This window comes from Homo sapiens, chromosome 12, assembly GCF_000001405.40.
Source record: "Homo sapiens chromosome 12, GRCh38.p14 Primary Assembly".
NCBI lineage: Eukaryota > Metazoa > Chordata > Mammalia > Primates > Hominidae > Homo > Homo sapiens.
In genome coordinates this window covers 25,205,184-25,228,397 of record NC_000012.12, presented here as the reverse complement: position 1 = coordinate 25,228,397, position 23,214 = coordinate 25,205,184, and the positions used below count along the sequence as shown (strand labels likewise).

Below are 23,214 nucleotides of genomic sequence, written 5' to 3'. Positions count from 1 at the left end.
ATTTCAGATTTTTTTTTTGGATTTTGGAATATTCATAGATACTTAACTGGTTCAGCATCCCTCGTCCAAAAATCCAAAATCAGATGGAGCTCAGTGGCTCATGCTTGTAATCCCAACACGTTGGGTGGCCAAGGCAGGAGGATCGCTTGAGCCCAGGAGTTCAACCAGCCTGAGCAACACAAGACCCTATCTCTCCAAAAAAAAAAAAAAAAAAAAAAAGATGAAAGAAAAAAAAATCCAAAATCAAATGCTCCAGTGAGCATTTCCTTTTAGCATCATGTCAGGCTCTAAAAGTTACAGGTTTTGGAGCATTTTGGATTTCAGATTTTTGGATTAACCTGCATTAATGCTCAACCTATATGAAATTTTATTCCTTTTTATGGCTGAATAATGTTCCACTGTATGTATATACTACATTTTGTTTATCCATTCATCTGTTAACAGACACTTAAGTTATTTCCACATTTTGGGTATTATAAATAGTGCTGCTGCGAACATTGGTGTACATGTATCTGTTTGAGTCCCTGTTTTTAGTTATTTTGGTTATATACCTAGGAATGGAATTGCTGATCATATGGTAATTCTGTGTTTAACTTTTTGAGGAACTACCACTGTTTTCCACAATGGCATCACCATTTTACATTCCCACCAGCAATGCACAAAGATTTCAGTGTCTGTATCCTTGCTAACACTTATTTTCCATTTTTTGAGTTTTTTTGTTTTGTTTTTTTAATAATAGCCAATCCTAATGGGTATGTGGTAGCATCTCATGGTTTTGATTTTATTTTCCTGACTATTGATGATGTTGAGCATCTTTTCAGGTGCTTAGTGGCCATTTGTCCGTCATCTTTGGAGCAGGAACAATGTCTTTTCAAGTCCTTTGCCCATTTTTAAATTGAATTTTTTGTTGTTGAGTTGTATATAACACCTTTTTTGAAGTAAAAGGTGCACTGTAATAATCCAGACTGTGTTTCTCCCTTCTCAGGATTCCTACAGGAAGCAAGTAGTAATTGATGGAGAAACCTGTCTCTTGGATATTCTCGACACAGCAGGTCAAGAGGAGTACAGTGCAATGAGGGACCAGTACATGAGGACTGGGGAGGGCTTTCTTTGTGTATTTGCCATAAATAATACTAAATCATTTGAAGATATTCACCATTATAGGTGGGTTTAAATTGAATATAATAAGCTGACATTAAGGAGTAATTATAGTTTTTATTTTTTGAGTCTTTGCTAATGCCATGCATATAATATTTAATAAAAATTTTTAAATAATGTTTATGAGGTAGGTAATATCCCTGTTTTATAAATGAAGTTCTTGGGGGATTAGAGCAGTGGAGTAACTTGCTCCAGACTGCATCGGTAGTGGTGGTGCTGGGATTGAAACCTAGGCCTGTTTGACTCCACAGCCTTCTGTACTCTTGACTATTCTACAAAAGCAAGACTTTAAACTTTTTAGATACATCATTAAAAAAGAAAACCATAAAAAAGAATATGAAAAGATGATTTGAGATGGTGTCACTTTAACAGTCTTAAAAGCAATCGTGTGTATAGCATAGAATTGCTTGGATTGGATAAACAGTGGCATTATATATTTTAAAAAATAAAAGTTTTGAAAGATTGAAGAATTTGGGCATTACAGTTCTCTTAAATCTGACAAAGCTGCATAAAACTATTAAAATAATCATTATTATACTATTTTATATTCTATTTCTTTGAGGGTTTAGTTTTCCAAAAACTACATATTAAGCAAATGAATCACTCAGTGGCTATGTCATATAATAACGAGTTAGCCTAGTTATAAGAAGTTTAACATTTTATTTAAGAACATTGTTACAGCATGTTTACTGTATAGTCTAGTAATAGAGGAAAAGACATTTGGGTGGGTGGTAGTGGTAGTATTTTTATAGAGGAGTTACCAAATTTCAGCTCTATTATCCAAGTTTACCCAGCTAATGGTGTTCGGAACCGGGAATTTGAGCCAATTCTGACTCTGTTGTCTGCTCTGCTCCTTCTTTTGTGCTGTGTCTTTGAAAGTCACCTAAAATTGTGAGGGAATGTAATTTCACCCCAAATTTAGAGTTTATGCACTTGTTATATTGAAAATGATTAACATGTAGAAGGGCTTTTAATGGAATAAGTGGTGTAGTAACTTCAGTGTTGCCTACCTAGAAATCAAAATCTTTCTAGTTGTCCACTTTGTTTTTTGAAAAAGTAATATGAAAATTATGTTAATGCTTTAATTCAGGTTTTTGTAAAATATTTTTTATCTTTACACATTTAACATACGTTTCTAAAATTATAGTCTGTTATATAGCACTTTGGGTCTAGAATTTTTCAGTAGTTTCTGTTTTACTATTATGATCTACCTGCATATTAACCTATTAGGTTATAGTTTTACTATACTTCTAGGTATTTGATCTTTTGAGAGAGATACAAGGTTTCTGTTTAAAAAGGTAAAGAAACAAAATAACTAGTAGAAGAAGGAAGGAAAATTTGGTGTAGTGGAAACTAGGAATTACATTGTTTTCTTTCAGCCAAATTTTATGACAAAAGTTGTGGACAGGTTTTGAAAGATATTTGTGTTACTAATGACTGTGCTATAACTTTTTTTTCTTTCCCAGAGAACAAATTAAAAGAGTTAAGGACTCTGAAGATGTACCTATGGTCCTAGTAGGAAATAAATGTGATTTGCCTTCTAGAACAGTAGACACAAAACAGGCTCAGGACTTAGCAAGAAGTTATGGAATTCCTTTTATTGAAACATCAGCAAAGACAAGACAGGTAAGTAACACTGAAATAAATACAGATCTGTTTTCTGCAAAATCATAACTGTTATGTCATTTAATATATCAGTTTTTCTCTCAATTATGCTATACTAGGAAATAAAACAATATTTAGTAAATGTTTTTGTCTCTTGAGAGGGCATTGCTTCTTAATCCAGTGTCCATGGTACTGCTTTTGGCTTTGGTTTCTTTCTACATTGAAAATTTCTCTTCAATTCTGAGCACATGTTAACATTTAGAATTCAAGAGGTGGGGATTTTTTTTTCCCATGGTTACATATATATATATATATATATATATATATATATATATATATATATATATAAAGAACAGGGCAACAAATTTTTGCGTTTTCTATTTCGGTAGTACTTTTAAACCATTATGTCATGTTTCTAGGTTAAACGTTGTTGTATTTGAAGAATTTTACTTTGGCAGAATTTTTTTGAGGATGTGTTTATTTCTGGAGAAAGGTCTCATTAAAGAAAGACAATACCCAGAAAGCCAACAGAAATTCTGTTACTCATTTAATGCATTTTTCTGACAAAAATTATTGCCAGAGAGAACCTGAATTTTGTTTCAAAAATCATCTTTGTTTTAAAAATGACTTTTTCTTCAGGTAAAATAAAATAATTTCAGTTGCTATTATTTAACCTGTTTGTATGAAGAGTTTAACATATAGGAAATGAATACATAAAGATAGGAAGGAATTAATTGTTATATGTAGTCATATGTCTCTTAATGACAGGGATACTTTCTAAGAAATACATTGTTAGGTGATTTTGTCATTGTGCAAACATCATAGAATATACTTACACAAACCTTGGTAGTATAACCTACTATACACCTGGGATATGTAGTATAGTCTCTTGCCCCAGGGATACAAACCTGTACAGTATGTAACTGTACTAATGACTATAAGGCAATTGTTAACACAATGGTAAGTTTTGTGTGTCTAAACCTACACTTGGGCTACCCTAAGTTTATATATTTTTTTAAATTTCTGTTCAATAATAAATTAACCTTACTTTACTGTAACTTTTTAAACTTTTTAATTTTTCCTAACATTTTGACTTTTGTAATACAGCTTAAAACACACATTATACAGCTATACAAATTTTTCTTTCCTTATATCTTTATTCTGTAAGCTTTTTTCCATATTTAAAATTTTTTGTTTGTTTTTACTTATTAAACTTTTTTGTTAAAAACTAAGACATGCATGCACATTAACCTAGGCCTACACAGGGTCAGGACCATCAATATCATTGTCTTCCACTTCCACATCTTGTCCCACTGGAAGATCTTCAGGGGCAGTAACACACGTGGAGCTGTCATCTCCTATAATAACATTGCCTTCTTTTGGAATACCTCCTGAAGGACCTATCCAAGGCTGTTTATAGTTAACTTTTTTTTTTTTTTTTTTTTTTTTTTAGTAAATAGGAGGAGTACACTATAAAATAACAATATAGGTGCTATACCATTATACAACTGACAGTGCAGTAGGTTTGTTTACACCAGCATCACCACAAACACGTGAGCAATGTGTCGTACTACAGTGTTAGGATGGCTATAACATCACTAAGCAATAGGAACTTTTAAACTCCATTATAATCTTATGGGACCACTATCACATATGCAATCTCCTGTGGACCAAAATGTCATTATGTGGTACATGACTGTACTAAGAAATTGATCCATCTATATTCCATCAATTTGTTTAGGGCTTTTTCTGGTTACATTTACCTGTGAGCCCAGAAAACCAGTTTTGTAGAAATTAACTTCTGTAATGCTAGGAGTTAAAAAAAATTGCTGAACAACTTTTACATTGTTAAACATTTAAAAACAAGCGTTCTAGAAGTTTATCAAATTTCATAAAGGTGCAAAAATGTAAATGTAAATCATTATCCAGCTAATATATATGTTGTATTTCCCTAGTAGGAGAGCATATGTACCTCTTCCTAGTTATACAAATTTGATATATAGTAAAGAAACAGTAAATTCTACTTCAAGTCATTTTGGGAGGATTAAAAACTGAATTTCTCTAGTTTGACCATTGTACAGATTTATCTGGCAATTTTACTAAAACCTGATTTATAGGTTAAACTTGGTGTATATCATATATCACTTTACTTTAGAGGAATTAAGATTTCACATAAATCCATTTCCAGGTTCCAAAGACCAGGAAGAGGCTTGGTTTTTGTTTTTCTTTTTACTGTCTTTACAGTCTCCTTGACTTTTCTTAGGAGAGAAGGTACTGAGAAAACATGATTCTAATATTTATTATTTTTTCTTCCAACATTTTCTTATGAAACATTTTCAAATACAAAATTGAGTTTTATTTAAAACATTTGCAAATATACTACCTAGATTCTACCATTGTTGTTTTATATTTGCTTTACTTACAACTTTTAAAAGATGCTTTTTATACCACTGAACATTTTAGCTTACATTTCACAAAGAAAAGAAAAAATTTAAGAGACTTTGCATAATGTTTTAAGGGGTTGCAGTAAAGAAGTGCTTCTTATATTTTCTTATGCATACAAATCAGCTGGGCTTATTAAAATCCAGATTCTAATTCAGAAGGTTTAGGTGGGGACCGAGTCTGCATTTCTAACAAACTCCTAGGTGGTATTTTTCTTGGTACTTGGACCATACTTTGAGTAGAAAAGCAGTAGAGGACATAAAAAGAGTCTTGTTAGTCCCACTTTGTTGCTGTCCACTTCTCATTTGATAATATCCTAAAATAGCTGTGTCTCCTTTTTGGTGGTTGTATGATTACTACCTCAGAAGTACTAATTGATTCTTGCTATTTGACCTTAATACTTTAATATAACACAGCATTCATATTTGATCAGAAAACTATCTGGCTTCCTTTTATAAGAGATTTTTAGGTTTTATACAGTTTTGTGGCCTTGGGTTTTTTTGTTTGATTTGTTTTTTTGAAGGTATATAATATGTAAGTAGATAAACAAATTTGATTTGTAGACATTTTTATGTGGATCATCTAATTAAAAATGGAGGGATACAGTATGAAAGAATACTTGTACTTCTTAACAGAGCACTCAACCTTTCTTTTACATCCTGTTTCACTGATGTTATTATGTAATTTATGTTGCTAAACTATAAATTAGATATTTAATTTCTGTTCTTTGATTTCCTTTTATTATTAAATGGACTTGTTGATTTGCCTAGAAATTAATTTGCCTTTCAAAAGTCTTATTAATCTTCCTCCGTTGAAATTAATTTGATATTTGCATGCTTCTGGAAGACTTTAAAGAGCTATTCCGAGTAACTGTAGAGATTATAAAATGAAATATGGGAATTTTAATAAATTTTACATCTCCAGTTACTGGTGAAAATGTCAAGTCCTCCTTTCTGCAGAGTATTTTGTTACTCATCTGTTATTCAGCTTATTTATTTATTTATTTATTTATTTATTTTTCTTTCTTTCTTGTTTTTTTTTTTTGAGACGGAGTCTTGCTTTGTCGCCCAGGCTGGAGTACAGTGGTGGGATCTTGGCTCACTGCAGGCTCCGCCTCCCGGGTTCACACCATTCTTCTGCCTCAGCCTCCCAAGTAGCTGGGACTACAGGCACCCGCCACCATGCCTTGCTAAATTTTTGTATTTTTAGTAGAGACGGGTTTCACTGTGTTAGCCAGGATGGTCTCGATCTCTTGACCTCGTGATCCACCTGCCTCGGCCTCCCAAAGTGCTGGGATTACAGGCATGAGCCACCGCGCCTGGCCCTTATTTGTTTTTTAAACAAAATTAGTGTGCATATCCTTGTTGTATTTTATCGGCAAGTTGTTTTATGCCCTAACTTTTGGGGTCTTGATCATGAGCCTAAAACACGTAAACACCCAAAAAGAATTATATTCCGGTTAAAGGAACAAAACATTCATTTAGAAGTTCTCATCCATGTAAATCAGAGGCTGGCAAATATTTTCTGTAAAGGGCCAAGATAGTAAATGTTTTAGGCTTTGAGGGCCACAAGTGGTATCTGTTGCATTTTTTTTTAATTATGACCCTTTAAAATGCAAAAATCGTTGTTAGCTTGTGCATAGTATAAAAATAGGCTGGCCGCATGCTGTGGCTCATGCCTGTAATCCCAGAAATGAGGTGGGAAGCCGAGGTGGGCACACCACCTGAGGTCAGGAGTTCGAGGCCAGCCTGGCCAACGTGGTTGAAACCCCGTCTCTACTAAAAATACAAAACTTAGCCAGGCGTGGTGGCGGGTGCCTGTTATCCTGGCTACTCAAGGGGCTGAGGCAGTAGAATTGCTTGAACCTGAGAGGCAGAGGCTGTAGTGAGCCCAGATCAAGCCAGTGCACACCAGCCTGGACGACCGAGCGAGACTCTGTCTCAAAAAAAAAAAAAAAAGGCTGTGGCTGCATTTGGTCCATTGGCTGTAATATGCTGATTCCTAATTCTCTGGGTAACTTTAGTGTTTGATTAGCTACTAGAAGTTAGGTTAAACTTTTGTATTTTACAGGCTAACTTTAATAATCTTAAAGTAAAACTTAACATAGTTCATGGAAAGGAAATAGAAATTTTACCCTAGTACTCTTTTTTTTTTTTTTTTTTTTTTTTGAGGCAGAGTCTCCCTCTGTCACCCAGGCTGGAGTGCAGTGGTGGGATCTTGGCTGATTGCAACCTCCTCCTCCTGGGTTCAAGCAATTCTTGTGCCTCAGCCTCCCGAGCAGCTGGGACTACAGGCACGCACCACCACACCTGACTGATTTTTGTATTTTTAGTAGAGACAGGGTTTCGCCATGTTGGCCAGGCTGGTCTTGAACTCCTGGCATCAAGTGATCCTCCCATCTGAGCCTCCCAGTGTGCTGGGATTACAGACGTGAGTCACTGTGCCTGGTCTCTAGTATTTTTTTTTTTTTTGAGACGGTCTCACTGTTGCCAGGCTGGAGTGCAGTGGCGCGATCCTGGCTCACTGCAACCTCCGCTTCCCGGATTCAAGCGATTTTCCTGCCTCAGCCTCCTGAGTAGCTGGGACTATGGGTGCACACCACCACGCCCAGCTAATTTTTGTATTTTTAGTAGAGACGGGGTTTCACCATGTTGGCCAATATGGTCTCAATCTCTTGACCTCGTGATCTGCCCGTCTCGGCCTCCCAAAGTGCTGGGATTACAGGCGTGAGCCACTGTGCCCAGCTGTACTTTTTAAGATAAGAATTGCAGGGTATATATTTTTACCAACTTAATAACTTATAATTTTAAAAAGCTAATTACTTGGCTAGAATATAATGCGTTACATATTCTTTACACTCAGTTCAGTCCATATCTGAAAGGCAAATAGAATTATTTTCTGCTAGTACATTGTGTAGTCCCTATGTTCCTAGTGTATAAGGACTGTTACCTAGTTCACATTTATCTGGGTTGTTGACAGATTTTCCTGGTCCCTTTGGACAGTGCATGGCCATGTTGGCAAAAGCTGTCAAAATTGAAACATTGACACCATGAGAATTGTGTGTTTTCCAGTCTGCTAAAATCAAAAGTGGGAGGGTTCAGTAAGGTGAATAACAGAAGCAGAGTTTTCGGGGTATCTGTTACTCCTCATTCGGCTTTTCTGCTCTCTGGGGGTCTCAATTTAAATATAATGTGAAAATTAGTTTTACGAACCTAAAAATGTTGAGTGATTCATTTCCTGGTTTTGTTGTTAATTTCTAGATATTTAAATTAATTGTTAGAAGAACCCCGTTAAAGAATGCTTTGCAAAACAACCTCCTTATGTGCTATGTCTCTGTTTAATAGTAGTTGAGTTTGTGTACATGAGATCAATATTTTGAACTATAGCTTTTTATGAGTTAAAAATTGACGGAACAGTTACTGTGCACTTGCTGTGCACCATGGTAGTCTCCCAAGTAGTGGTTTTTCTGCATTTCAATAGTACATGAGATAGGCTGTGGGTGGCAAGGTTTCTTGAGAAAGTGAGGGATGCACAGTTGGGTTTTAGAATACATCTTGTTCCTCCATGCCCTTCCCCACCAAAAGGCTGGTAGTCTTGCATTTGTATATAGTTAGGGTATTTGATGTGTTGCTTCCTTGACAGAGTTTTGCAAGAATTTGCAGATTTAACAGGAACAAAAACTTACTTAAAACAAAATCTCTTAGTAAAAGCATAGTCTAGCAAGATTTAGAATGATACTTTGGCTAACAGTACTTTCTCTATATGGAGTGCTTTGTTTCCATAGCCTCACAAGTATGTTTTCAGATAATAGTTGAGTTGAAAATGTTGTCAATCTCTTGATTTTAAAAAATTTACATATTTAAAGTTGTATACTTTTGTTCCTACGTATTTTCAGTTGTTCTTAAAGTTTAATAAGTGACATTTGAAAATGAGTATATGTGTATAAAAACAAAAGTAGGCTAGGCACGGTGGCTCATGCCTATAATCCTAGCACTTTGGGAGGCTGAGGCAGGCGGATCACAAGGTCAGGAGTTTGAGACCAGCCTGGGCAATATGGTGAAACCCCCCTCTACTAAAAATACAAAAATTAGCTGGGTGTGGTGGTGCATGCCTGTAGTCCCAGCTACTCAGGAGGCTGAGGCAGGAGAATCGCTTGAACCCGGAGGTGGCGGTTGCAGTGAGCCGAGATTGCACCACTGCAGTCCAGCCTGGGCGGCAGAGCGAGACTCCATCTCAAAAAAAAAAAACAAAAAAAGAAAAAGTTAAAAAAAAACAAAAAACCCCCACAAAATGAGTATATGTGGCAACAAGTCCTATTCTCAAAAAAATTATTGTGTGCTAGTTAAGAGCTTAATGAGTAGCCAGTCGGTATTAAATATCTGTTTCAGCTATATTTTATCTTTAAAAATTATCTACAGATTTTGGAATGTGAAAAACTAGTGTTTTGTTTCATAGGTATATACTGTAGGCATTTTAAAAATAAGAGCCAGTGCCAGTGGTTTACAGTGTACACAAGGATAATGTTCTCATGTTCTCTTGATGTCAGTATGACTTTAAAGCATATTATCAAGAAATAACTAAGTCTGAAAAACTGTGGTAAATAACTGGTACTCTAAAACCTAAGTTTCTTATTACTAAAAATAAGAAATGGTAAAAGTCACCCTGTGCTGTTAATTATATGAGCCACTGAGGTCCTGACACTGAATTCTTGGTGGTGGATAATAATCTCTTCTTTTTAATTATTGGCTTCCAATTCTCTCTGCATTGCTGGAAACAAAAATCATATATTTCACTATTGGTGGTGGGGATGCTGTCACTGAAAAAGTAGACACATTCATATTGATTTTAGAAATAAGTTAAAATCAAAATTTGCTTCTGCTAAATTAGTAGAGGACCAATACTGTTTTTCTCCTTCATAGTATGTTTTGGTACTTCTACATTGACATTATAACTTTTTTTTTTTTAAACAGAAATAGAAGTTTACATTCTTAGAAAATTTATGAAAATATGAGCTTTTACCTGGTTTGTGTGTGTGCGTATATATATACACATATTTTTAAATTTCTTACATTGATTTTCAAATTGAAAGAGAACCATTTGTGAAAGTATCTTAACAGAGCTCATGCTTTACATTTTACATGCTACAAAGTTATTTTAGTGCCTTAAATTATTTATGTTGCTTATTAATGAAAATTTTGGATACATAATTTTTTCAAGACAAAGGTAAAAATAATAAACCCTTTCCTTCTGAGGATTAATGATAAATATAAACTTTAAAACGATTAAAAAAATTTTTTTAGAGACAGGGTCTTGCTCTGTTGCCCAGACTGAAGTGCAGTGGTGCAGTCATAGCTCAATGAAGCCTCAAACTCCTGGGCCCAGGCAACCCTCCTGCCTCAGCCTTTTGAGTAGCTGGGACTTCAGGCTCATGCCAACATGCCTAATTTATCTTATTTTTAGTAGAGATGAGGTCTCAAACTCCTGGCATCTCTTGCCCTCTCAAAGTGCTGGTACTACAGGCATTAGTCACCACACCTGACACTTAAAATCTTTTATATACAGGTGTAAGTGGGTATCTAACTTAAAGTGCCAACGAATGTAGTTGAAAGTTTGTAGTTGGCTTAGCTAACTAGTTAACTAAATTGATTCCATTAAAAATAAGATAAGACTGCTCTTAGAATATAATGATTTTTGTTATTCGTTAAATATAAATATATCACTGGATAGTATATGTTAATGACTTGAGATACGCATTTTAACATATAATCACGTTACTTAAATGCCTGCCTTTGAACTGAAACTTAACATTATGAATTTAAATTAAAGTTTGACTTTAGAGGTAAATTTCTGTACTTTACTAAAGCAGTTCTTAATATAATTCTGAGATTTCTAAAAATTAGTGTGCCCTAAAGAATTGAGGTGTGTTTTTCTTAACTACTGTAGGCAGTAGATGTACAGATGACTTCTGCATGCAAAAATTAAGCCCTAGCCATTGGTTTACTTCAACTAATACTTAGTTGCCAATTCTCTGTGTGTGATTGAATTTAAAACTGCAAATGGTACTGGTGATACATTAACTTTTTAGGTGCTAGGTCCACTTTGTTACATTTGGTTCAGTAGAAACATTGATGTTACCAATCTCAGAAAGCTAAAATATGTATGCCAATCCCCAAATTAGGTAATTTATTCTTAATTTTAAGATAAAAGAATAGAATTCCCTTAAAATTAAATGTGGAGTAAAATATACCAGCTTTAAAAAATATTCACCTTTCTGTTAGAAGAATGAACATAATATTACATCTTTTAATTTGCACTATATATAGATTAATATTTCTGTGTATTTCTCTGTGCCCCTACTTTGATGGTATGCTTTTCTGAACAAACTAGCAGCACAGTTAACTAAGCACTTTGCCCCGTTTGATGACTGCCTAATTTTCTAGATTGGAAAATATTAAAAACTTTTATCTCCATATGGCCAATATATGATTGTACCTGTTGTCATAGCTCTCTTATGTTTAAGCAAGAAAAACCCTATTAAGAGTATTTAAATTAGAATGGAAGGCACACAGCCAGTATGATTGAACACTGTTCTAAAAATTATTTTTAAGACTTGTAGTAAGGCCAGGTTTGGTGGCTCATGGCTGTAATCCCAGCCCTTAGGAGGCCAAGGTGGGCGGATCACTTGTGCTCAGGAGTTTGAGACCAGCCCGGGCAACATGGCAAAACCCTGTCTCTACGAAAAATACAAAAATCAGTCAGGTGTGGTGGTGCTTGCCTGTAGTCCCAGCTATTTGAGAGGCTGAGGCAGGGGGATCACCTAGCCTGGGAGGTCGAGGCTGCAGTCATGATCGTGCCATTGCACTCCATCCTGGGCAACCCAGTGAGACCCTGTCTCTAAAACAAAAAAATAAAAAAAGAACTTGTAGTAAGGATACAAAATGCTCCTATTTTGTGTGTGTCCTTTAATTCATGATGTTTTTATATTATGGTAAGCAGCTCTCATTTAAGATTTTAATAATGTAATTAAACATGTACAGAAGACCCAGTCTCAGCTTCACTTGTATACCCTGGAAATAGACTGAAAGGTGTTAAAATTTAAGATAAAACTCAAGGTTCCAGTTTCTTGACTCACCTTTGAGATTCTTTTATGTTTTTGTTGTTTTTTAACAAAGGTTTCACGTCCATATTTTACCATTTTTCTTCTCATTCTCCCCTGGAGGAGGGTGTGGGAATCGATAGTATATAAATCACTTTTTTCCTAAGTCAAAGAAGTAATTTAAAGCTAACTTCAGTTTAGGCTTTAATTCCAGGACTAGCAAACTAAAATGGTTGCATTAATTGACAAACAGATGCTAATACCTGTGTTTAGGCTTGTCATAATCTCTCCTAATTCCTAATTTAAAAATTTTAAAATTTAATTCCATTAGAAAACAAAACTGACTTTTAAGAACAAACCAGGATTCTAGCCCATATTTTAAAACTGCATCCTCAGTTTTATTCAAACAGTCTGATGTCTGTTTAAAAAAAAAAAAATCTCAAGCTCATAATCTCAAACTTCTTGCACATGGCTTTCCCAGTAAATTACTCTTACCAATGCAACAGACTTTAAAGAAGTTGTGTTTTACAATGCAGAGAGTGGAGGATGCTTTTTATACATTGGTGAGAGAGATCCGACAATACAGATTGAAAAAAATCAGCAAAGAAGAAAAGACTCCTGGCTGTGTGAAAATTAAAAAATGCATTATAATGTAATCTGGTAAGTTTAAGTTCAGCACATTAATTTTGGCAGAAAGCAGATGTCTTTTAAAGGTAACAAGGTGGCAACCACTTTAGAACTACTTAGGTGTAGTATTCTAACTTGAAGTATTAAAAGATAAGAAACTTGTTTCCATAATTAGTACATTTATTTTTAATCTAGTGGGAATTAATTATAATTGAGACAATTTTGATGGCTGTAGTAGACTAATCTATATTTGGCATAAAGTCTAATGATTTAATGAGTCTTAAGTAAACTAAATATTTGGAAACTGATATTTACCTTTATTTTTAAGGGAAAAGTTTTGAGATAATCAGCAGCTTTTTTTTTTTTTTTTTTTTTTTTAGTAGGGAGAAAAAGATATGAGCTATAGTAGACAGCAGTAATATTGAATGGCCCAGAAGGTGGGAAAAAGCCACTCTTAAATGTATTTTTTCTTTTGGATATTTTACAAGCAAATAATAACTTCTGCCTAAGTTCGCCATCTCAGTGGCATCAGCAGCACAGCACTTTCTTATCCCAGTGAGAAACCTGGGAATTTTAGGATGACTCCTACCGCCCTCTTTTCCCCCTGGTTTGGAAGTATCCACAAATTCCTGTGACGTTACATTCTGTGTCTTTTATGTCATCATTAGTTCAGGCCCCTATCATTTCTTGTTGGACTGTTAGAACCTCCTATTTGGTTTACCAGTTGCTGCCATCATTCATTGTGAAACCGGAGAGATACACTTTAAAGAAATGTCATTTTTGGCCGGGCGCGGTGGCTCACGCCTGTAATCCCAGCACTTTGGGAGGCCTAGGCGGGTGATCACCTGAGGTCAGGAGTTCAAGACCAGCCTGGCTAACATGGTGAAACCCTATTTCTACTAAAAATACAAAAAATTAGCCGGGCGTGGTGGCACGTGCCTGTAATCCCAGCTACTTGGGAGGCTGAGGCAGGAGAATTGCTTGAACCTGGGAGGCAGAGGTTGCAGTGAGCTGAGAATGCACCATTGCACTCCAGCTTGAGCAACAAGAGCGAAACTCTGTCTCAAAAAAAAAAAAAAAAAGTCATTTTAGCTATAGAATAAAATCTCATGTTCCACATGTGTTGCAGATAGTCCTTACTACCTTCCCACCACTCCAGCTCTTTTTTGGTCTTATATCTAAAAACGTCATCTTGCCTGAATTTCTTTTGTTCTTCTATAAATAAATACCATGTTATTTCCTACCTTCCCTTGAGTCTTGGCTCTTGTTTGGAATGCCAGTATTTTTATCCCTAGTCTTACTAATTAGCTAACACTCTCATGATTCCCCAGTCTCCTACTCTCTAAAAACCTTTCTTTAAACCCTTAGACTAGGCATGGAGCCCTTCCTGTGTATTCCCAGAATACTATTCTTAACTATTATATGCTTCCCATGTTATGTTGAAATAACTAACCTCTTCTGTTTCATTCCTATATTACTTGACAGCAAAATCTTAGCCAGAATTACATATTTTTAATCTTTGCACACCCATTGCCTAGTAAGGTTCCTGGGACATAGTAACTACCCAGTAAATATTTATTGCGTGGAATTCTCATTTTCGTTTCTAAACCCGTATTAAACTCTGTCTTGCTCAGAAAATACTTCACTAGGTATCATAAAGTTCATGGCAGAGCTTAAGCTTTGGATGCATATTGTTTGTAATATATCATGTTCTTAAGAATAGGCAATAAAATTACAGTTTTCAAAAACTACTACATTTATTATATTTATTACAAGTTGGTGTTCTTTATTACATGAATTTTAGGTATTTCCCAAAAGTATAAAATATACATTTGAATAGTAGACTCAATCCCAAAAGATACTACGTGGTGTACTAATCTACTAAACTCAGAAACAAAGCATGACTGGCATTAATTTTTGTTGAAATTTATGAACTCTGAATGTTTTTGAATATCATTCTGTAAAGCAATATTTTGCAATTAAAGCAATTTTGCATGTTAAATTTTACCACAACCTCTAAAATATTGCAAATTTAACAATACAGTTTGAAAAGTTACACATTTTAAATAACAGTACCATGACCAGATTTAGGTGGTGGTTTTAATTTTTTATTTTCTCCTCCTATTGTCTCACCATTAGATGATTTTAAAAATAGAATTGTTTAGAGTAAAATAAGTGTTATGCTCTAATTTATATTTAAAATGAAGGTTTAAGCACGTACTATTCTAAAATTTCTAATTTGTGCAAATTATGTTTTATACAGTGACTGTAGGTGAATGTCACAATTGTTTGATGTGACGAATCCTTGTTTTTCAGTACACGTGGAAGTAATTCATATAAAAGAGAAGTATACTTGGTAATTAAAAATTTAAAATTAAATACAATTTAAAAAAAAATTTATTTGACAAGCTGGCTGTGGTGTGTGTGCCTGTAGTATCAGCTGCTTGGGAGCCTGAGGCAGGAGGATTGCCTGACCCCAGGAGTTTGAGGTTGAAGGGAGCTATGATGGTGCCATGGCACTGTAGCCTAGGCAACAGAAAGAGACTCCATCTCTTAAAAAAAGTAAAAATAAAAAAATTTTGGCACAGGGACAGTGGCTCACACTTATAATGCCAGAACTTTAGGAGTCCACAGCGCGAGGACTGCTTGAGGCCAGGAGTTTAAGACCAGACTGGGCAACGTAATGAGACCCCACCTTTAGGAAATAAATACATAAATAAAAATTTGACAATGATAAACATATATAAATTAGCTTTTCTTAGTCCTGAAAAAGATAATGTTATGTGTATGTGTGAGAATGATTAGTTCTCATATGAGAAAAAAAGAATTCATTGCTCTGTGTAGGTTGTGACATTTCCTTCACGATTGAAATTAATTAATTTTTTTTTATTACTTATTTATTTTTAAAATAGAGACAGGTTCTTGCTGTGTTGCCCAGGCTGGTCTCAAACTCCTGGCCTCAAGCAGTTCTCCTGCCTCAGCCTCCCAAATTGCTGTGACTGTAGGTGTGAGCCACTGCACTGGGCCAAAATTACTTAATTTTAACAAGATGATGTAGAGAGGAGAGTTCATTGCAACATAAGCCTAGAATCTTTGTCAGAATCTTAGGAAGTAATGTTTTCAAATTCTGTGTTTTCACCATAAAATGTGTCTTCTCTGTGTCCATCACATGGTTTTTCATTGTTTTCTGCTTTACCATTTTAGTACCATTGGCATTTTTCTTCATTGTAAAAGTAGTAGAAATGGAGTAGATTACATAAGGATGTGATCAGAGGGAATTTATTCATTCAGGGTAAGGGAGTTAGATCCTCTTTTAAGATTCTATCACATTCTAAGGGTTTATGATTCTAAACTGTCAAGTAAATTGTCAAGTGCTGGCAAGCTACAGAATAATTTTTATTGTATCATTGGAAATTTTCCCCTCTATATGTGTTAAAGAGTTTAGCCTGAAGGGATACATACACATACATATATGTAATCAAACCTTGATGGTATTGTATTGCTGATAAATTATTTCTTACCACTTTTCCTTTCTCCTGTGGGAGAAACAAAAGCATATGTTTGTGTAGTATCAGTAATGATATTAGAGAGTGGGAAACATCAGTGAGTGCAGTTTGGGGACTTTATTGGAGACTTTCACTAGTGCTCAAATAAATAATGCTGGTTTTTATCCTACTGTTTGCTTAATGTGGACTAGCCTCTTATTCCCATTCTATGTTTACCTCTCTTAAAATATTGGTCACGCTTTCTTGAATTATAGATCTATTAGGAAAATTCATGAACTGTAGCTAATTTTCATTGTTCATGCTCCAGATTTATTTTGAAATATCGTTAATCTTAGTAGTACAGTAAAGGAGAAATACCACTTAACATTTTTTGTTTTTTTTTCTTTGAGACAGAGTCATGCTCTGTCACCCAGTCTGGAGTGCAGTGGTGCTATCTCGGCTCACTGCAATGCACTTCGCCTCTCCGGGTTCAGCAATTCTCCTGCCTCAGCCTCCTGAGTAGCTGGGATTACAGGCACCTGCTACCACACCCAGCTAATTTTTGTATTTTTAGTAGAGACAGGGTTTCACCATGTTGGCCAGGCTGGTCTGAAACTCCTCACCTCAAGTGATCCACCCGTCTTGGCCTCCCAAAGTGCTGGGATTACAGGCTTGAGCCACCGCACCCCGCCCACTTAACATTTTAAATTAATTTCAAGATAATATCACTTGAATATTTTTACACATATAATTTTTTTAATACATTTATTTACACAGTTTATAATATCCTACAAAGTGATTACAATGAGTAAAAACCCAGTTTTCATTGTTCCTAAAGTGGCTTGATTTATACAACTTAATGTGTTGGGTATTTGTTTCTAAGACTCCCTCTGCTGTCTAGGTTTGGAAGTATTGTGAGGTTAACAGATTTTCTTTTTATAGTTACTACTCAGTTGAACAGGCTTTAAAATACAGAGAGAATCATATTTTTTCTTCATTTTTTGCTTTTATTTATATTTTTCTTTTAATTGGAGACATGACAAGAATTGACTTGTGTATGGATCTTGCATAATTTAAGTACTGCAGGTTTAAAATCTACTACCAGTTTGAGAGTGCCATTTTTCACACTGTAGATTATTAGGTTGAAAAGTATTATGGCTTAAAATCGCTTTTAGCCATTAAATTTAAATAACCTTGCTTTAATCATAAATAGATGGTGGTCACAATGACTAACTGTTAAACTCTTTGAAGACAGGATATTTGGCTTTATATGGCAAGCTTTTGAATACAACAGAAATTAAAACTTTATGGGATAGAAAGAATCTCCTCCAAATTGGTAAACTATAAGACCTTTCAAATGATTTAGCTAATTTCTCCACAAATCTGAGGTATTAGTGTTTTTTTTAAAGTGGTATTCTCCTGTGTTGGGGTCACTTTAAACCTTTTTCTTAATGATAAATATATGAATTGAAACTAATCCCTTAATATATATCATTTGAAAACTGAAATAATATGTTTAGATACTGTTTACTTGTTGATAAATTATTGGAATAGGATGTTCGAATACTGTTTACTTCTTGGTAAATTTTTAAATCCAATGGATTTTACGTAAGTATAGAACTGGAGCTCAAATACTGTTACTGTGTGTGAAGATATATGAACATAGTTTACAGTTGCATGGCTTATATCTAAAGTCCAGAAACATAAGGACAATTAAGTGTACACACACACACATGCATTTGGATTTTGATGACTTAGGTTTGCCAATGTGGAAAAAATAGTAGCAAATTAAGTTCTCCTGTGAAAAAGTCGTTACCTTATTTAAAATTCTGTGCCATTGGTTATCCTTGTCTTTTGTGAAAATTAGTGTTCCTGTTTATAATATTGACAAAACACCTATGCGGATGACATTTAAGAATTCTAAAAGTCCTAATATATGTAATATATATTCAGTTGCCTGAAGAGAAACATAAAGAATCCTTTCTTAATATTTTTTCCATTAATGAAATTTGTTACCTGTACACATGAAGCCATCGTATATATTCACATTTTAATACTTTTTATGTATTTCAGGGTGTTGATGATGCCTTCTATACATTAGTTCGAGAAATTCGAAAACATAAAGAAAAGATGAGCAAAGATGGTAAAAAGAAGAAAAAGAAGTCAAAGACAAAGTGTGTAATTATGTAAATACAATTTGTACTTTTTTCTTAAGGCATACTAGTACAAGTGGTAATTTTTGTACATTACACTAAATTATTAGCATTTGTTTTAGCATTACCTAATTTTTTTCCTGCTCCATGCAGACTGTTAGCTTTTACCTTAAATGCTTATTTTAAAATGACAGTGGAAGTTTTTTTTTCCTCTAAGTGCCAGTATTCCCAGAGTTTTGGTTTTTGAACTAGCAATGCCTGTGAAAAAGAAACTGAATACCTAAGATTTCTGTCTTGGGGCTTTTGGTGCATGCAGTTGATTACTTCTTATTTTTCTTACCAATTGTGAATGTTGGTGTGAAACAAATTAATGAAGCTTTTGAATCATCCCTATTCTGTGTTTTATCTAGTCACATAAATGGATTAATTACTAATTTCAGTTGAGACCTTCTAATTGGTTTTTACTGAAACATTGAGGGAACACAAATTTATGGGCTTCCTGATGATGATTCTTCTAGGCATCATGTCCTATAGTTTGTCATCCCTGATGAATGTAAAGTTACACTGTTCACAAAGGTTTTGTCTCCTTTCCACTGCTATTAGTCATGGTCACTCTCCCCAAAATATTATATTTTTTCTATAAAAAGAAAAAAATGGAAAAAAATTACAAGGCAATGGAAACTATTATAAGGCCATTTCCTTTTCACATTAGATAAATTACTATAAAGACTCCTAATAGCTTTTCCTGTTAAGGCAGACCCAGTATGAAATGGGGATTATTATAGCAACCATTTTGGGGCTATATTTACATGCTACTAAATTTTTATAATAATTGAAAAGATTTTAACAAGTATAAAAAATTCTCATAGGAATTAAATGTAGTCTCCCTGTGTCAGACTGCTCTTTCATAGTATAACTTTAAATCTTTTCTTCAACTTGAGTCTTTGAAGATAGTTTTAATTCTGCTTGTGACATTAAAAGATTATTTGGGCCAGTTATAGCTTATTAGGTGTTGAAGAGACCAAGGTTGCAAGGCCAGGCCCTGTGTGAACCTTTGAGCTTTCATAGAGAGTTTCACAGCATGGACTGTGTCCCCACGGTCATCCAGTGTTGTCATGCATTGGTTAGTCAAAATGGGGAGGGACTAGGGCAGTTTGGATAGCTCAACAAGATACAATCTCACTCTGTGGTGGTCCTGCTGACAAATCAAGAGCATTGCTTTTGTTTCTTAAGAAAACAAACTCTTTTTTAAAAATTACTTTTAAATATTAACTCAAAAGTTGAGATTTTGGGGTGGTGGTGTGCCAAGACATTAATTTTTTTTTTAAACAATGAAGTGAAAAAGTTTTACAATCTCTAGGTTTGGCTAGTTCTCTTAACACTGGTTAAATTAACATTGCATAAACACTTTTCAAGTCTGATCCATATTTAATAATGCTTTAAAATAAAAATAAAAACAATCCTTTTGATAAATTTAAAATGTTACTTATTTTAAAATAAATGAAGTGAGATGGCATGGTGAGGTGAAAGTATCACTGGACTAGGAAGAAGGTGACTTAGGTTCTAGATAGGTGTCTTTTAGGACTCTGATTTTGAGGACATCACTTACTATCCATTTCTTCATGTTAAAAGAAGTCATCTCAAACTCTTAGTTTTTTTTTTTTACAACTATGTAATTTATATTCCATTTACATAAGGATACACTTATTTGTCAAGCTCAGCACAATCTGTAAATTTTTAACCTATGTTACACCATCTTCAGTGCCAGTCTTGGGCAAAATTGTGCAAGAGGTGAAGTTTATATTTGAATATCCATTCTCGTTTTAGGACTCTTCTTCCATATTAGTGTCATCTTGCCTCCCTACCTTCCACATGCCCCATGACTTGATGCAGTTTTAATACTTGTAATTCCCCTAACCATAAGATTTACTGCTGCTGTGGATATCTCCATGAAGTTTTCCCACTGAGTCACATCAGAAATGCCCTACATCTTATTTCCTCAGGGCTCAAGAGAATCTGACAGATACCATAAAGGGATTTGACCTAATCACTAATTTTCAGGTGGTGGCTGATGCTTTGAACATCTCTTTGCTGCCCAATCCATTAGCGACAGTAGGATTTTTCAAACCTGGTATGAATAGACAGAACCCTATCCAGTGGAAGGAGAATTTAATAAAGATAGTGCTGAAAGAATTCCTTAGGTAATCTATAACTAGGACTACTCCTGGTAACAGTAATACATTCCATTGTTTTAGTAACCAGAAATCTTCATGCAATGAAAAATACTTTAATTCATGAAGCTTACTTTTTTTTTTTGGTGTCAGAGTCTCGCTCTTGTCACCCAGGCTGGAATGCAGTGGCGCCATCTCAGCTCACTGCAACCTCCATCTCCCAGGTTCAAGCGATTCTCGTGCCTCGGCCTCCTGAGTAGCTGGGATTACAGGCGTGTGCCACTACACTCAACTAATTTTTGTATTTTTAGGAGAGACGGGGTTTCACCCTGTTGGCCAGGCTGGTCTCGAACTCCTGACCTCAAGTGATTCACCCACCTTGGCCTCATAAACCTGTTTTGCAGAACTCATTTATTCAGCAAATATTTATTGAGTGCCTACCAGATGCCAGTCACCACACAAGGCACTGGGTATATGGTATCCCCAAACAAGAGACATAATCCCGGTCCTTAGGTAGTGCTAGTGTGGTCTGTAATATCTTACTAAGGCCTTTGGTATACGACCCAGAGATAACACGATGCGTATTTTAGTTTTGCAAAGAAGGGGTTTGGTCTCTGTGCCAGCTCTATAATTGTTTTGCTACGATTCCACTGAAACTCTTCGATCAAGCTACTTTATGTAAATCACTTCATTGTTTTAAAGGAATAAACTTGATTATATTGTTTTTTTATTTGGCATAACTGTGATTCTTTTAGGACAATTACTGTACACATTAAGGTGTATGTCAGATATTCATATTGACCCAAATGTGTAATATTCCAGTTTTCTCTGCATAAGTAATTAAAATATACTTAAAAATTAATAGTTTTATCTGGGTACAAATAAACAGGTGCCTGAACTAGTTCACAGACAAGGAAACTTCTATGTAAAAATCACTATGATTTCTGAATTGCTATGTGAAACTACAGATCTTTGGAACACTGTTTAGGTAGGGTGTTAAGACTTACACAGTACCTCGTTTCTACACAGAGAAAGAAATGGCCATACTTCAGGAACTGCAGTGCTTATGAGGGGATATTTAGGCCTCTTGAATTTTTGATGTAGATGGGCATTTTTTTAAGGTAGTGGTTAATTACCTTTATGTGAACTTTGAATGGTTTAACAAAAGATTTGTTTTTGTAGAGATTTTAAAGGGGGAGAATTCTAGAAATAAATGTTACCTAATTATTACAGCCTTAAAGACAAAAATCCTTGTTGAAGTTTTTTTAAAAAAAGCTAAATTACATAGACTTAGGCATTAACATGTTTGTGGAAGAATATAGCAGACGTATATTGTATCATTTGAGTGAATGTTCCCAAGTAGGCATTCTAGGCTCTATTTAACTGAGTCACACTGCATAGGAATTTAGAACCTAACTTTTATAGGTTATCAAAACTGTTGTCACCATTGCACAATTTTGTCCTAATATATACATAGAAACTTTGTGGGGCATGTTAAGTTACAGTTTGCACAAGTTCATCTCATTTGTATTCCATTGATTTTTTTTTTCTTCTAAACATTTTTTCTTCAAACAGTATATAACTTTTTTTAGGGGATTTTTTTTTAGACAGCAAAAACTATCTGAAGATTTCCATTTGTCAAAAAGTAATGATTTCTTGATAATTGTGTAGTAATGTTTTTTAGAACCCAGCAGTTACCTTAAAGCTGAATTTATATTTAGTAACTTCTGTGTTAATACTGGATAGCATGAATTCTGCATTGAGAAACTGAATAGCTGTCATAAAATGAAACTTTCTTTCTAAAGAAAGATACTCACATGAGTTCTTGAAGAATAGTCATAACTAGATTAAGATCTGTGTTTTAGTTTAATAGTTTGAAGTGCCTGTTTGGGATAATGATAGGTAATTTAGATGAATTTAGGGGAAAAAAAAGTTATCTGCAGATATGTTGAGGGCCCATCTCTCCCCCCACACCCCCACAGAGCTAACTGGGTTACAGTGTTTTATCCGAAAGTTTCCAATTCCACTGTCTTGTGTTTTCATGTTGAAAATACTTTTGCATTTTTCCTTTGAGTGCCAATTTCTTACTAGTACTATTTCTTAATGTAACATGTTTACCTGGAATGTATTTTAACTATTTTTGTATAGTGTAAACTGAAACATGCACATTTTGTACATTGTGCTTTCTTTTGTGGGACATATGCAGTGTGATCCAGTTGTTTTCCATCATTTGGTTGCGCTGACCTAGGAATGTTGGTCATATCAAACATTAAAAATGACCACTCTTTTAATTGAAATTAACTTTTAAATGTTTATAGGAGTATGTGCTGTGAAGTGATCTAAAATTTGTAATATTTTTGTCATGAACTGTACTACTCCTAATTATTGTAATGTAATAAAAATAGTTACAGTGACTATGAGTGTGTATTTATTCATGAAATTTGAACTGTTTGCCCCGAAATGGATATGGAATACTT

At 34.6% G+C, this 23,214-nt stretch overlaps 1 protein-coding gene and 1 long non-coding RNA gene across 6 annotated transcripts in view; one reads left to right on the top strand and one right to left on the bottom strand.

Annotated features, from left to right (window-relative positions):
* The window catches only part of KRAS (KRAS proto-oncogene, GTPase), a 45,684-nt gene extending 22,532 nt beyond the window's left edge, over nt 1-23,152 (top strand). For 2 of the 5 annotated variants that reach the window (NM_001369786.1, NM_033360.4), the window contains exons 3-6: nt 986-1,164; nt 2,625-2,784; nt 12,838-12,961; nt 18,487-23,152. In NM_001369786.1, coding sequence (NP_001356715.1) covers nt 986-1,164; nt 2,625-2,784; nt 12,838-12,957 — 459 coding nt within the window. In that variant the 3' untranslated portion in view covers nt 12,958-12,961; nt 18,487-23,152. Of the gene's footprint in view, nt 1-985; nt 1,165-2,624; nt 2,785-12,837; nt 12,962-16,219; nt 16,221-18,486 lie in introns of all 5 variants that reach the window. The other 3 variants (NM_001369787.1, NM_004985.5, XM_047428826.1) reach the window with 2 other exon arrangements.
* On the bottom strand, nt 8,524-12,847 carry LOC124902899 (uncharacterized). The gene is made up of 2 exons (XR_007063246.1): nt 12,338-12,847; nt 8,524-9,972 (listed from the first exon to the last, which is right to left on the bottom strand). It is a non-coding gene; the product is annotated as an uncharacterized LOC124902899 (long non-coding RNA).